Source organism: Homo sapiens, chromosome 12 (assembly GCF_000001405.40).
Source record: "Homo sapiens chromosome 12, GRCh38.p14 Primary Assembly".
NCBI lineage: Eukaryota > Metazoa > Chordata > Mammalia > Primates > Hominidae > Homo > Homo sapiens.
The window spans coordinates 68,612,509-68,628,529 of NC_000012.12; the positions used below are offsets into that span (position 1 = coordinate 68,612,509).

The 16,021-nt window shown below is 39.4% G+C and overlaps 1 protein-coding gene, 1 non-coding gene and 1 pseudogene across 7 annotated transcripts in view, besides 1 other annotated feature; 1 reads left to right on the plus strand and 2 right to left on the minus strand.

The window, feature by feature from the left end:
• RAP1B (RAP1B, member of RAS oncogene family) overlaps window positions 1-16,021 on the plus strand; it is a 61,003-nt gene that overhangs the window by 1,610 nt on the left and 43,372 nt on the right. The gene's annotated exons all lie outside the window — the stretch shown is intronic.
• Window positions 3,179-3,950: an enhancer, noted in NCBI's record as "H3K4me1 hESC enhancer chr12:69009467-69010238 (GRCh37/hg19 assembly coordinates)". NCBI's record gives its function as "activates a minimal SCP1, AML or CMV promoter by ChIP-STARR-seq in primed H9 embryonic stem cells {active_cell/tissue: H9 hESC(primed)}" and the evidence as "EXISTENCE:reporter gene assay evidence [ECO:0000049][PMID:30033119]".
• On the minus strand, window positions 14,302-14,679 carry RPL10P12 (ribosomal protein L10 pseudogene 12; annotated as a pseudogene).
• SNORA70G (small nucleolar RNA, H/ACA box 70G) lies at window positions 14,726-14,867 on the minus strand. The gene has a single exon (NR_033335.1). It is a non-coding gene; the product is annotated as a small nucleolar RNA, H/ACA box 70G (small nucleolar RNA).

Genomic DNA, 16,021 nt, shown 5'->3' on the forward strand with positions numbered 1-16,021 from the left:
CAGTTAGTGGGTCCACTGACCTTTAGGACAGTAGTCTATCCGTAAGAGACAACATGGAGAAAGAAATACAACGTTTTTATAGTGAATTATCATCTTACAAAGAATATTCTTCCCATATCGCACTTTTAAAAAGTGGGTACCTTAGTCAAATAGGAGAAAAAACCACTTGAGTAGTTTCATCCTCAGGTTTTAGGTGAGGAAACTGATACTCAGATTAAATAACTTTAAGCACACAGAGCCTGAATGATAGTCTTATTTGAGCTCATCTGTGCTTTTAATGTGTACTACGTTAGGTGTTTTCACTTGCATTTCCTTTAGTCTTATTTGAGCTCATCTGTGCTTTTAATGTGTACTACGTTAGGTGTTTTCACTTGCATTTCCTTGTTTGACGTTGACAATAAATCGTGAAGCTGCCTTATCTAAGGAAGTCCTAAAGTAAATCATTGGAACACATGTAGCCAGTTTGTTGTTTTTAATATGCCAGGTATCAAAATATAACTGAAGAACCAATGCTAAACTGACTTAATTTTAAAATGTTGTATGGGGCATGAAAATGATTGCTCTGGCTGGGCGTGGTGGTTTACGCCTGTAATCCCAGCACTTTGGGAGGCCGAGCCGAGGAAGGCGGATCATTTGAGGTGAAGAGTTCGAGAACAGCCTGGGCAACATGGTGAAACCCCGTCTTTACTAAAAATACAAAACATAGCCGGGTGTAGTGGCACGCGCCTGCAATCCCAGCTATTCGGGAGGCTGAGGCACGAGAATATGAACCTGGGAGGTTCACATTGAATGAACCAGCTTGAACCTGGGAGGCGGAGGGTGCAGTGAGCCGAGACTGCACTACTGTACTGCAGCCTGGGTGACAGAGCTAGACCTGTCTTAAAAAAAAAAAAAAAAAAAGGAGATAAGAAAATGATTGCTCTGCTCTCTTTTACATTCTCCCCTCACCCACGACCGCGTGAAAGTCATCTCTCTTACCTTCTATGACACGCATTACTTCCTGCCTCCTGTTACCATTTTATATTATTTATTCCATTGAATTGTGAACTCCAACCACAAGATATATATTGTTTTGTATGCCTTAACGCACTGGCATGGTGCCTTGCAATAGACATTCAACACCAGTTAAATGTAAGTACCATGAGGGTAGGGACTTAATCCATTTCATTCTTCACAGTAATCTTCCTAGCGCGTTGCCTGGGCACAGTGTAGCGCGTTGCCTGGGCACAGTGTAATGGTTAGCGTTTGAATTTAGGGATTAATGGTAATGAACATTCAAAGAGAGGATATTTGAAGAGAACAGTGTAATCCTTTAAAAAGAAACATTTACATATTGGCTTTGGAATCCCTTTTACTTGACAAATTAATTTTCGTTTTATCCTCAATCCTTTTCAGAATTCCAATATTTTCTCTTAGCTGTATAAAGGTAAAGTGACCCCCTCCCATAATAAAGAGCTACCATGTAAGGAGGGTATAGCAAAGAATTAATTATTAAAATAACTAGATCCATTTTTGTAAGGATCCTTTCAATTGTATCTTCCTATCTAATTCAAGATTGGTGGAAGGTCTATGCAAAGATTGATAACATGGTAACTGATTAGACATGTTATTTTAAATGCAGTCCAAGATTTGGATGAAAAGCTCACGTTCAGGTTTTTTTTGCCTTTTGTTGTAGGTACTCGATAAATATTTATTGAGGTAGTGAAACTAATCTGAAATTGGATCTGATACAGAGAATTTGACCGATTTTACAAGGTGTCCATTTACTTTTTCCCCATAAGTATTGTTTAAATAGGCTGTTTTATTATCGACTATCACACAGATCTTACTGATTTGCCTCATTTCCTTAAAGATGTAAAATAACTGTGTTTCTCTGTATGTTTGTGTTGCTAAAGAGGAGGTTGGGTATTGATCTGCAGTTTCTAGATTTGACTGGCACTAGGAGTAATTTAGCATTTATGAATTAGCTATTTACTGCTGTTTTATAGCAGTGATGTCACGTGTTCACTCTATAGAAAAGTTAGGTAAAGATTGGTCTGTCTTAAACTTTCTGAGACATAGGTTGTGACTAAAAATATGCCCTGGGTTTTCTTCCCCCTCCTGTCATTATTGAGGACTCCATGGTCTAAGAGATTAGGCTGAAGTTTTTGTTAGCCTTTTCAAATTGAATTGAATTTTAGAACAAGTTAAGACATTTTGGCTGATGCAGTGATTCATTGTAACATTGGACAAAATTTTTAGTTCAGCCATCTGTAAACAGGAGTACTGTACCATGGCTCTGGAAGCTAGTGTTTTTCTGTGTTCATAGATTATTTTGCAATGGTATTGAAAGGTACTAATTGCCATTTGAGGTCTTAAGTTCTTTGTAAATCTCATAAGCACAGTGGAAGCAGTAGCTACAAAGAATAGATGAATTTATCCATTTGCAGTAAAAACTGATTTGTATGTAATCTGTTGTACTTTGAACCCAGTTGAGCACTGGATTCTAAAACAAGTCTCTTTGGTCGTGGAGAGTTTCTATTTTAAACAAGAAAAGTTATCAGGAACTTTTGTGCTGCCTTAAAAACATCACTTTTTAAAATTCACCAGCAACAAAAAATAGTATCACTTACATTCCGTATTTCATAACATTGGACTATTTATTCCTAATGTTGGTCAAATCAAGGGTACAGTAGCAACTGATTATTTAAGCAGTAATTTAGAAAGATTTTTTTTCCTTTGAATCAGTAGAGGGTCAAAATTTTTAAAACTTTCCAAAGAACCTTAAAACAGGAAAAAATGAAAATGTGGGGGAAATGTACCAGTTTTTTTTAATTTAAATTCCCTAAAATAAAAATATTTACAACATGAGTTACAGAATTTCCATCTGATTTTTATTGTACAGGAGGAGTATATTCTGTGATATCAGTATACAATTCAAAATACAAAAAATTACCTGGGCGTAGTGGGAGGTGCCTGTAATCCGAGCTGCTTGGGAGACTGAGGCAGGAGAATCGCTTGAACCTGGGAGGCGGAGGTTGCAGTGAGCCAAGATCGCTCCACTGCACTCCAACCTGGGCGACAGAGTGAGACTGTCAAAAAAAAAAAAATTACTTAGATTGTGTATGAGGTGCCTGCATACTAGAAATGTTCTTTTGAGTTACAAATCTGTCTCTCTGACCATAGAGAGTAATTATTTAATCTTGTGAGTTTGAGTTTTATATCAAACCATTTCCTAAAGCTTACTTGTAATTACTTTTACTTTATGTTTTTGTAGTTATACATGTGTATATATATACACATACATACACACACACATATACATATATCAGTGAGACCTTTTAAATTTTAGCTGAATTCTGGTTTCATAACTTGTGATTTTTTTTCCGGTACTGGGGGATTGAATGTTTTTAACTGTTGTGCAGATAGACTGAATAAAGGAAGTGAGCATCCATTAAAAACTCTAGTAAATAATTTGGATTTTTTTTTTTTTTGAGATGGAGTCCCACTCTGTCGCCCAGGCTGGAGTGCAGTGGCACGGTCTCCGCTCACTGCAAGCTCCGCCTCCAGGGTTCACGCCATTCACCTGCCTCAGCCTCCCGAGTAGCTGAGACTACAGGCGCCCGCCACCACACCTGGCTAATTTTTTGTGTTTTAGTAGAGACGGGGTTTCACTGTGTTAGCCAGGATGGTCTGGATCTCCTGACCTCGAGATCCACCTGCCTCGGCCTCCCAAAGTGCTGGGATTACAGGCGTGAGCCACTGTGCCCGGCCTTTGTTTTTTTGTTGTTGTTGTTTTGTTTTTTGTTTTTTTTGAGACAGAGTCTCGCTCTGTCAGTCAGGCTGGAGTGCAGTGGCACGATCTCAGTTCACCACAGCCTCCGCCTCCAGGGGTCAAGCAGTCCTCCAGTCTAAGCCTCCCGAGTAGCTGGGAATACTGTGCCTGGCTAATTTTTTTTTTTTTTTTTTTTTTTTTTGAGACGGAGTCTCTCTCTGTCCCCCAGGCTGGAGTGCAGTGGTGCAATCTCAGCTCACTGCAACCTCCGCCTCCAGGTTCAAGCAGATCTCCTGCCTTAGCTAGTACTACAGGCGCACACCACCGCACCCAGCTAAGTTTTGTATTTTTAGTAGAGAGGGGATTTCACCATATTGGTCAGGCTGGTCTCGAATTCCTGACCTCAGGTGATCCACCTGGCTTGGCCTCCCAAAGTGCTGGGATTACAGGCATGAGCCACCGCGCCCGGCCAGGTTTTGTATTTTTTGTAGAGACGTTTCGCCATGTTGCCCAAGCTCACCTCAAACTCGTGGGCTCAAGGGATCTGCCCATCTTGGCCTCCCAAGTGCTGGGATTATAGGCATGAGCCACTGTGCCTGGCCCAGCATTTCACTAAGTAACTTTATTTTAAAAATATACAGTGAACTGATTGCCGAAGTGGTGGATTGCCTCTACCTGTTTCCTTTTTCTTTGCCTTGTAGGAAGGGAAAAAGATGAAAGGAAACATGTTTTGTCTATTTAGTAGCAATTTTTGGTGAAAGCTTCTGGAAAGGAAATGGAAAATGCTGGGTAAAATGAAATTATAATTATCTGTGTATTCTAAAATTTATCCTCACATTAGAATATATTTTTCAAAGTTACTTTATACTAAATTCAGGGACTTTCTAAGTTCTCAGTTAATAGAACTGAAAGGGTATCAATAAAATAAGGACTATATATATAATCTATTTTTACTTAGTTTTTATGCGCCAAAAGGTATGTATGTTGCATCCAGCTGTTTGTTACCTTGTGTTTTAAAGTTGCAGTTAGAATGTGGAATCCTATTACTACATTGTGCCAACATATTTGTGGCTGATGCTTCTAAGTTATCCACAAGCTTCTCAATACAATAGCAAAATGCAGGAATTCCTCTGGAATCTTGAATTGAGGGATAGGATGAGATATATAACATATGTTATCTGTTGTTTTCTCCTACTGCTCTTGAAATTAACAAACTTGAGATAGTGTACTGATTTGTATTTATAAGATTGGCTGAGTTCAAATATGTCTTTTTGACGTTCTTACCAATGTTTAAAATATAGAAAAGTATAAAGAAGAAAATGAGTATCATCCGTAATGCCATCACTACAATGACTTTTTTAAAGCAAAATGTGTACTTTCCTTCTGAAGCTTTCCAACCTCCTTGCCTCCTCAGTGAGAATGATGACATACTGTTGTTAGAGTTGTTGAGGATCAAATGCAGTATTACTCATGAATGTTTCATAAACCATAAAATAATACAGTAATGTACTATTTTTTTTTTTGACAGCCTCACTCTGTCACCCAGGCTGGAGTGCAGTGGCACAAACTTGGCTCACTGCAGCTTCAACCTCCCAGATTCAAGCCATTCTCCAGCCTCAGCTCCCCAAGTAGCTGGGCCTACAGGCGCATGCCACCATGCCCAGCTAATTTTTGTATTTTTTGTAGAGACGGGGTCTCACCATGTTGCCCATGCTGGTCTGAACTCCTGAGCTCAAGTAATCTGCCCGCCTCCACCTCCCAAACTGCTAGGATTACAGGCATGAGCCACCATACCCAGCTGTATTAGTTCTTGTTCTATAAAGCTTTTTTTTTTTTTTTTTTTTTTTTTGAGGTGGAGTCTGTCGCCCAGGCTAGAATGCAGTGGCACAATCTTCGCTCAGTGCAACCTCTGCTCCCAGGTTCAAGCAATTCACCTGCCTCAGCCTCTCGAGTAGCTGGGATTACAGGCATGCGCCACCACGCCTGGCTAATTTTTTTTGTATTTTTCTTAGAGACGGGGCTTCACCATATTGGCCAGGCTGGTCTCGAACTCCTCACCTTGTGATCTGCCCGCCTCGGCCTCCCAAAGTGCTGGGATTGCAGGCGTGAGCCACCTTGCCTGGCCCTATAAAGCTTTTATTCTCCTATGGCATTGCTTAAGAATCCCATTAAAGTATGAATAAGGACTAATAAATAATTGTGAGTTTTGATTAGTGTAACAAATGAATTACCTAGATCAGTATTTTCAAGGTATGGTCCAAGGAATCCTGGAGGTCCCCTAGACATTTTTGGCGAGTCTACAAGTGCAAAACTATTTTTATAATACTGAGACATTCTTTGCCGTTTTCTTTGTAGTGACATTTGTACCTGTAGTATAAAAACAGTGGTGGATAAAACTTCTGGCGCTTTAGAATAAACCAGGTTAGAGTACTTCACTGTCCTAGTAATCATTGTATTATTCACTGCCATGCACTCAGATTTTTTTTTAAGTTTCACCTAAATGCTCTTGATGAAGAAGTAAAAAAATTTTAAACTAAATCTCTACCTTTGTACACATCTTTAATATACTGTAACAAAATGGGAAGTATGCTTAAAACACTGGCGAGGCCATGGACAGCAAGCCTCCCAGCACTTTGGGAGGCTAAGTCCAGCTTGGGCAATGTAGTGAGAGCCTGTCTCTCCTATTAAAAAAAAAAAAGTTAGTGTGGTCATGCACATCTACAGCTACTCTGGAGGCTGAGGTGGAAGGATCTCTTGAGCCCAGGAGTTGGAGGCTGCAGTTAGCTGTGATCGTGCCACTGCGCTTCAACCTGGGTGACAGAGCAAGACCCTGTCTCGAAAAACAAAACAAAAACACTTGGCAGCATACTGAAATATAATGGTTGTTTCTAGGGAAAGTATTTGTGTGATTGAGTCACACGCTGAATCAATCTTCATATAATGCCATTTTTGCTTAAAAGAATGCCAGACTTGGGCATTAGGCTGACATTTTCTTGAAAACAGTGAGGCTTTGCTTTAGGGAAAATAGTGGTAGTATTTATGGTCGATGATAAAGTTCCTAGATTTTAAGCAAAAATTTTAGAAAGCTTGTATCAGCTGCTGTAAGTATATAATGAAATCTGTCATTATTTGATTATCTGCATAACTGAGTCAGTATTTCCAAATGATCAATGCATAGTATTATAAAAATCATACATGGGTAAGAAATCTTTACAAAGTGTCAGCTAGACCAATGGATTTTAATGTTATAGAGAACATAAAAGTTTATCAATAAGGTATCCTGTTCCATATTGCAACCAATTGCTGAGCTTTGGTGTAGTGTCAAAGACCAGTATCCAGATTTATCTGAAAATGCTATTAAAATATTCCCAACTGTCTAATGTATTTTGTATTACTTATTTTTCCATGCTTTGCTCTCAGTGTTTAATGTCTTCTTTGATTTATTTTGTTTATATTTTTGTTGGAAACAGGAATGGGAGCCATAGATAAATGTGAAGCAATGTTTTCATGTGCTTTATCTTAAAATCTCCTATTAATATATAATCAGTTTAACTTCTTTGTAGTCTTCTCTGTGCATTCCATTCAACTTTTGGTCTTGGTAATGGATTAGATAATAGTTATTTTTAAGCCTATTTTTGGTTTTAATATTTGTTTTGTATACCTGACTGCTCATCTATAGACAGAATTCCCTTGTGTCCAAAGTCTAACATAATCCTTAAGTAGATTTTTAGTAGTTGACTTTCTCAGTTTTAAAATATTTGATAACTTTTCCATAGTAAAGCTGTAAGTTTCAAGTTTAGTAATGTCTTTTTGACCTGAGAATTTGGTGTGTTGTCTTACCTTAAGTAGACACTTTTCAAAAACACACCTGTAGAATGATCCTTTTTTTACCTTTCAGGAGAATGCTGTTTCTTGGTGGTGGTGGTTTTTTTATTTTTTTATTTTTTTTTATTTTTATTTTTATTTTTTTTAAGACTGAGTCTCTCTATTGTCACCCAGGATGGACTGTGGAATGCAATGGTGCAATCTCAGCTCATTGTAACCTCCTCCTCCCAGGTTCAAGCGATTCTCTTGCCTCAGCCTCCCAAGTAGCTGGGATTGCAGGCACCACCACCATGCCTGGCTAATTTTTGTAGTTTTAGTAGAGACAGGGTTTCACCATATTGGCCAGGCTGGTCCCGAACTCCTGACCTCAGGTGATCCGCCCACCTCGGCCTCCCAAAGTGCTGGGTAGAGCCACTCTGTGGCCTTCTTTTTTATGTTAATTTAAAAACATTTGTAGCAATCCTTGTTAAACTGTTTTTATAAACTCATGGGATAAGTCCAAATTTTATTTTCCTTTTCTTTTTTTTTTTTTTGAGACAAGGTCTCACTGTCATCTAGGCTTGAGTGCAGTGTCACAACCACGACTCACTGAAGTCTCGACCTCCCGGGCTCAGTTGATGCATCTCAGCGTCCCAAGTAGCTGGGACTACAGGCGCATGCCACCACACCCAACTAACTTTTGTAGAGACAGGGTTTTGCCATGTTGCCCAGGCTGGTGTCAAACTCCTTGGCCTAATCGGTTCTTCCACCTCAGTCCTCCAAAGTGCTGGGATTACAGGAGTGAGCCACCGCACCGGTCTGGTTCCACATTTTAAAGGATTTTTAGACTGTGTTTGGATCGAGTAATCAGTTTCAGATTAGGAGAGTGTTAAGAAAGATAGTTAAGTTACAGTTTGTATTGTGCACAGTTTCTTGGAAATTTAGTGCCAGTTATTTCCCTAGAGAGATTAAAATGGAGAGAAAAGATAATTCAGTCTGAACACCAGTGTTGCAAAGAACAAAGTTGACACCAGAGGAAGAAAAAGGTTTAGGGAAGGAATACATGTGAAAATGCTAACTTCAGGGTAGCTTCAGGGATTAAGCATTATAGAACTCCTGCCTGCATGTGCTAATCCCATAGAGAGCAAGGGAATTTAACAGGAAGCTTTAGTGCTCCCTATATTAAATAATTAACTGGTCTGCTGTTCTAGCAATTCTGAATTAGGGAACATACTGAGATCGTATTTTATGTCCAGGACATCCAAATTAGTCACAAGGTTGTCACTGACTATTATTTATAGAGTTTTAGTTGCTAGTTGAAAATATTGCATTAAATCCTTCTATTTTAGCTTGTTTATACTTGTGTTTTTTTCTTCCAGGAGCTCTCAACTTAATCATCCTTCAGCAAAAAAGAATTAAGACTAGGTTTGCAAGCTTTTAAGGACAGAAAAAGCATTTATAACATTTCTCTGTTTAGATGAAAGTGATGATGGTTAATGATGGTGATAATAGGCAATGAAGAGGTGAAAGGGCAGGAAGTAGAGCAGAAAAGAGAGTGAGGATGGTGATTAAGAGGTTCTTGTTAAGTGCAGGACTACTGTTAAAAGCAATTCACTTCACAGTTCTGGTCAACAGGAATGATAAACTCAACATTGAAAAACACTTGTGATGCTTTAGTGGTTGATACATCTTACCCATCAGAAGGTCCTATGTAGAGGATAAACTGGCATTATATTTGAGTTAGAGATTATAGTCTTAAAATTTCATCACTAAGCAGTTTGACTGGAGAGCCTTTGACTAGTTCTGCTTCCCAGCAGTCCCTTGTGTACTTTTCTCTGGACCTTCAGGTACTCAAATTAGACCTTTATTTCATTGTCCTCATATGTTTTTTTAGCTCATTCCATTGGGTGTGAAATCAAATCTGAGAACTCAGGTATTTGTTTTAAGTAGTTAGACCTTTTATTGTACTCTGTTGTCTTAAAAAGCATGGTTTAGTGGTGGTAACATTGACCTAGGTGACAGGCTTCAGTTTAGTTTCTGGCACTGGTCATGAAACTTTGAACAAGTTAACTCCTCTCTTAGGACCTTATCTTTATGTAGAGAAAGTTGGACTAAATGGCTGTTAAGGTCTTTTCGGGCTTTCAAATGCTGTGTTTCTGTAATACCACCCTTGTTTAAGCCACAGTCATCTCTTGTCTGGACTCACAGGAGCTTCCTAACTTGTTTTCATTTTTGTCCTTCCCCACATTATTTTCTACCCAGAATACAAAGTGACCTTTTTAAAAATGTAAATCAGATCATGTAATACCCTCCGGTCCCAATTTACCCTTAAGAACCAGTTCCTTATCAAGGCCTAGAAGGTACTGCATAATCCAGTTCTTGCTTACTTCACAACTTTATCCCCATTACTCACTAAGCTCTAGCCAGCTGTACTTCTTTCTGTGACAATCTTTTGCCAGCCCTCTGCAATTCTGCCTCAGTCTCAACAGTGGATCTCAGTTCAGATGTCACATTTACAGAGTTTTTTCCTGATCACCTTATATAAAGGAGCATTCCTCTTCATTACCTCTGTAGTTCTTAATCATAATCAATAATTATATTTATCCATTTGTTTGCCTCTCATCCCCTCTAAACTGTTTCAGGACAGGAAGATCATGTTACTTTTCCACCACTATCTCAAATGGTTAGCCCAATAACTGCCTAGTGCTCAAGAGAATTATTTTAGTTAGAAAAATACATAAAGTATGTAACGGTTTGTCCATATCAATTCCCATAATAAGCTACTCCTTAAACTGGTTTTTTTCTTCACTCTTTTGGTAGTGGCCTGGTCTCATAATCTTGCCCAGGCTAGTCTGGAACTACTGGGCTCAAGGATCTTCCTGCCTCAGACTCCCAAAGTGCTGGGATTTACAGGCGTGAGCCACCACACCCAGCCTTAAACTAATTTTTAAAGTTTTATATCTATGTCCAACTATAATTCCTCATTTTTTATTTAGGTCATCTGTCTCTTGAGGACTATTTGATCTGATTGCATGTTATTGAAAGCTAATTGTTCTTAGTTACTATATGTTAGGATTAAATTGAGTAATTTTGCACAAAAGGTTTTTAGCAAAGACATGAAAAGTTAACCAGTATAAAACTGTTAGCAGTTCAGAATATCCAAATGAGTGATATAAATGAGTGCTTATTAGAGTCAAAGGAAGAAGTGAAACCCTTAGGATCTAGTAGTTAGAAAAGACAGTAAAAATAAGGTAGAATCTGCATATTAAAGGAGTTTTAGATTAACAGTGAATTACAGTGAGCAGTACTACAGAACTACAGAAATTGAAGTAAATTCAAGAGTGTTTTGCCCTGGTAGATGTTTGTAAAATTGATTATAGGGCCATAATCCCTTATCTATATATAACCTTTGGTGCCAGGTATTTTTGGATTTCAGAATTTTGAGGAAAGATTTGTTTTAGATTTTGGTAAGAGTAATCAAACACAATATTAATGTGGAACATGGATAGTCACATTAAGTGAGAGAAATAAAAGATAAAAATAGTCTCCCATCAGTGCTCAGGTGAAGTTTTGCCATTATATATTAGGATTAAGCTTTGCCACCAACATAGTTATAGAACTTTGAGTTTTCAGAGATTTTAGGATTTCAGAATTTCTATAAGAAGTCGGTTTCAGGCTGGGTGTAGTGGCTCACGCCTGTAATCCCAGCACTTTGGAAGGCCAAGGTGGGTGGATCACGAGGTCAGGAGATCGAGACCATCCTGGCTAACACGGTGAAACCCATCTCTACTAAAAATACAAAAACTTAGCCGGGCATGGTGGCGCACGCCAGTAGTCCCAGCTACTCAGGAGGCTGAGGCGGGAGAATCGCTTGAACCCAGGAGGCGGAGGTTGCAGTGAGCCGAGATTGCGCCATGGCATTCCAGCCTGGGCGACAGAGTGAGACTCTATCTCAGGGAAAAAAAAAAAAAAAGAGAGAGAGAAGAAATTGGTTTCAAATGAGTTAAAAAGGCTTTATTCATTACTGTTTGGAGAAGATACCAGGGTCTGAAAATGTTACTTTGAAGCAATTAGCTTTAGAAACCCTCTTTGCCAAGGAATTGTTTGACCCTGACTCAGGATGGAATGCAGTGCTGAGGGTGATGAGTCTTTAGGGTATGGGAGAATCACCTCATTCTATAATTGCAGAGTCCAGTTAAATTTGGAAATAGTTAAGATTGGTGCCTAACAAACACTAACATTTTTTTAAATGTTTAAATATTGAGAGCTCATAACTACAGTTTCATCTTGGTGATTTTTTTAGTCTTATAAGGTATTAGGCAGTTTGTTTCCTAATAATGTTTTTAAGAATTATTTGATACATTTAATTGTAAGAATACAATAGATTAGAATAGGAATATTATAAATAGGACTAATGTAATCCTCATTTAAAAATCCTCAGACCAGACACGGTGGCTCACGTCTGTAATCCCAGCACTTTGGGAGGCCAAGGCAGGCAGAGCACTTTGGGAGGCCAGGGCGGGCGGATCACTTGAGGCCAGAAGTTCGAGACCAGTCTGGCCAACATGGTGAAACCCCATCTTTACTAAAAATATGAAAATTAGCCAGGCATGGTGGTGTGTTCCTGTAGTCCCAGCTACTCGGGAGGCTGAGCAGGAGAATCGCTGGAACCTGGCAGGCAGAACTTGCAGTGAGCTGAGATCGTGCCACTGCACTCCAGCCTAGGCGACAGAGTGAGACTCCGTCTCAAACAACAACAACAACAAAAGCTCCTCGATGGAACCATTTGATAGTGACAAGGATTGAAGTAAGTATCTGAAGAGGCTACTTAGAAACTCAGAATTGGTTACAGGAAGTGACTGCCCACTTTCCATGTGTTCTTCAGATGCTCTGGTTATTCTAACAGCCTAGTTAACCACCCAGACTTTGGTTCTCATTGCCTTTATCCATTTGTTTGGTGTATATACTAATGTTCAACGATGCACACATAATGCATGTGATGTTTTTTGGATACCGTCTTATCACTTGTAGAATTGCCATGATAGGCATTTTTTGGAGCTACTTTAAGTACTTGCTGGCCTAGTAATTATGCAAGTAAGTAATTAAGTGTTTATTCATATGTGAAAGCCCAATGTAAGCATTATTTATGTCTTTCAGTGAAGTGTGGTGTGCCTTTCATTTTTCTGAGTGGTCTTTATTTTATGGAATATTAAATGGATCTTTGAATAAACTCAAGAGGGTAGATTATAAAAGGAAGAACTGTTAAATTAGTCAAAAACAACTTTATAACACAATTAGCTGCATAAGCCAGTGCGTGCGTAAGCAGGTAGTATAAATGCTTAGGTTGAGATACTAAAATTATTATTAGAGAAAATTACAGGAAGTACCTATGCTCCCACTATGTTTTGTTACTTGGTTAATTTTTCTCCTCTGAACTTCTGGCAGGTTTACTGGGGAATTTTCCATTAGGAATATTCTGGTCCTTAAGTTTCATTTTGAATGTATAATATAATCATGCAGATTACGAACCCACAATCTAAAATCAAGGCATTCTTTTTTAAAGTTTCAGATGAGGCTGGGTGTGGGGCTCATGCCTGTAATCCCAACACTTTGGGAGGCCGAGGCGGGTGGATCATGAGGTCGAGAGATCGATACCATCCTGGCCAGCATGGTGAAACCTCCCCGTCTCTACTAAAAATACAAAAATTAGCCGAGCGTGGTGGCGCGCACCTGTAGTCCTAGCTACTCGGGAGGCTGAGGCAAGAGAATTGCTTGAATCCAGGAGGCAGATGTTGCAGTGAGCCAAGATCGTGCCGCTGCACTCCAGTCTGGCGATAGAGCGAGACTCTGTCTCAAAAAAAAAAAAAAAGTTTCAGGTGTATTCAGGAGTGGTCATATTAAGCTTGTCACCTGATCCTGGTTATGAGGTTAACAGCAAAATGAAATAAAATATTTTTCTGAGCCATTTGTTTCTCCTCTCATGGAAGACACTAATTCTGTTTATTTCTATATTCGGCCTTGTGTTGAAACAGACTGTAAAATCATGTTTTAAAAAAGCTTCACCCATCCTTGTGGAGGGTGGTGGTTTGCAAAAGCACCACCCCACTTAAGCATTTATATTGAGAAGATATTTATGGCATTCTTCCATTCATGAAAATGGGTATGCTTTGTTCTGGAGTTCTTACCTTGATTTATCTACTAACACTAAAGTTCCTCACTTCCAATTTCTTATACCTCTAACCCAACAGCTTATAAACTGCATGTAGTATAGTATTTGCTTGAAATATGTGAAAGTAGTTATTTTCCCTAACTAATAGGGATATTTCTGTGGTGGTTGTAGTTACTTTGCAACCTGTTCAGCAAATATTATAGGGCGTTTTTGATGGTATCTTTAAATTTTGGACATAGAGAACCATCTTGGATAACCTCTTTCCCCCCAGTCTCAGTCATCCCTTTGGAGGTAGTGTCTCATTTTTAATCTGTGACTTGTGGAAGTTAAGGCATTTGAGTAGCTTATTTAAAGTATTAATAATCTGATTTCTGGAGATCTGAGGAATAGCAGACACCCTTTTCTGTATTAAATTGGGGAAATTTATTTTATAGGCAAAAAGATGAATAAAATGGTCCTAGTAGACAGCCCCTAATATTTCTGGTCTCGGGTAAAGGTCTTAAGGAAGAGGGAAGGTAGTATCAGAATTTTCCAGGGTGTTTTTTTTTTGTTGTTTGTTTGTTTGTTTGTTTTGGGTGGACAGGAAGTAGAATTTATTGGTGAGTATTAAGAGGGGGCAGCACAGTGGAAGCCCTCATGAGTGCAGGGCCCGCCACTTGTCCACAGGGCCACGATTGGAAATGTACTTGACCCGACAGCCATCTGGGATGAGCCGCTTCTCAGTCACCATGTCTTCAAACTCATTGGCATTGAACTTGGTGAAGCCCCACTTCTTTGAGATGTGGATCTTCTGGCGGCCAGAAAACTTGAACTTGGCCCTGCGCAGGGCCTCAATCACATGCTCCTTGTTCTGCAGCTTGGTGTGAATGGAGATGATAACTTGGCCAGTGTGAACCCTGGCCACAGTGCCCTGGGGCTTCCCAAAGGCACCTCGCATGCCTGTTTGGAACCTACACTGGGGTAGTGCAAGGTCAGAAACATGAACATCCATCTGAAAGGACTGTCTCCAGGGTCCCTTAGAGCAACCCATACAATACAACACACAGGCTGCATACACTACCAAGGAAGCTGCTGTTTGCAGCCATTGCACACTGGGCCCCCCCATGAGGAAAGGAACTCAGTTGGCTTAATAGGCTGCAGCAGGGTGTTTTTTAAAACACACAAATATACCCAATCCCTACTAGAATGAGAGATTTTACTAATAATAGTGTTAGGAGTATAAATGGTTTGGTAGCCAACCACTACTTTAAAATTGATTAGGTCTCCCGGGCTTCTGGGCCTTCACATTTAAATTTGACCTGACCTTGAAACTTCACCTCTCGTTATTCCCAGCGTGACTTTTGTTTTACCCACTTTTCGAAATACCCCATGTGTAGCTCCTTACTTCACGTCATGCTGGAATGTGACCCATACCAGCCAAACTACATCTAACAGAAACATAATACCTAACTAAAAGCGTCTTTTATCATATAGATAGATGTACAGGGTATGTTAATTTATCTTTAGAGAGACTCCCCAGTATACTGAAAAAACAGACCTAAGTTTTGGTAGATAGCCTTGCTTTATAGAAAATGAAAATGGGCCAGACAGTGGTGACTCATTCCTGAAATCCCAACACTTTGGGAGGCCAAGGCAGGAGGATCACTTTTGAGGCCAGGAGTTTGAGACCAGCCTGGGCAACATAGCAAGACCCTGTATCTGCAAAAAATTTAAAAAAAAAAATTTAATCAGGCATGCAGCACACGCCTATAGTCCAGTTACTCAGGATGTTGAGGTGGGTAGATCGCTTGAGCCCAGGAGTTGAGGCTGTAGTGAGCTATGATTGCACCTCTGCACTCTAGCCTGGGTAACAGAATGAGACCCTGTCTCTTAAAAAGAAGGAAATGAAGATGCCAGATACTAGCTTTTCCAGCCTCCCTTGCAGCTAGGGCACAAGTACTTGACCTAGGCCCCACAAAATTACATGTACTTTAACTTGAGATGGAAGAGATGATAAATTTCTGATAGATTTCTCTTCTCCTCTTGGTTGATGTACACCACAAATCAGTTTTCTGCTGCAGAAACAACTGATACAAACTGAAGCATCTACTGTTAGTGATGTGACAGCAGTTTCCTCACCTGGCCAGTTTTGTAATACGGTTTCGGGTGTTTGTGGCTATGTTAGCTTCCAACTTCATTCTCTAGTTTTCCACAGTAATTTTGTAAGTTGCTTGGTATTTTTTAATGACTTATTTTTATATGTAAATGTGATTTGTATAACTTCCAACAGGAAACCTTGTCCAATGCGTGATTTT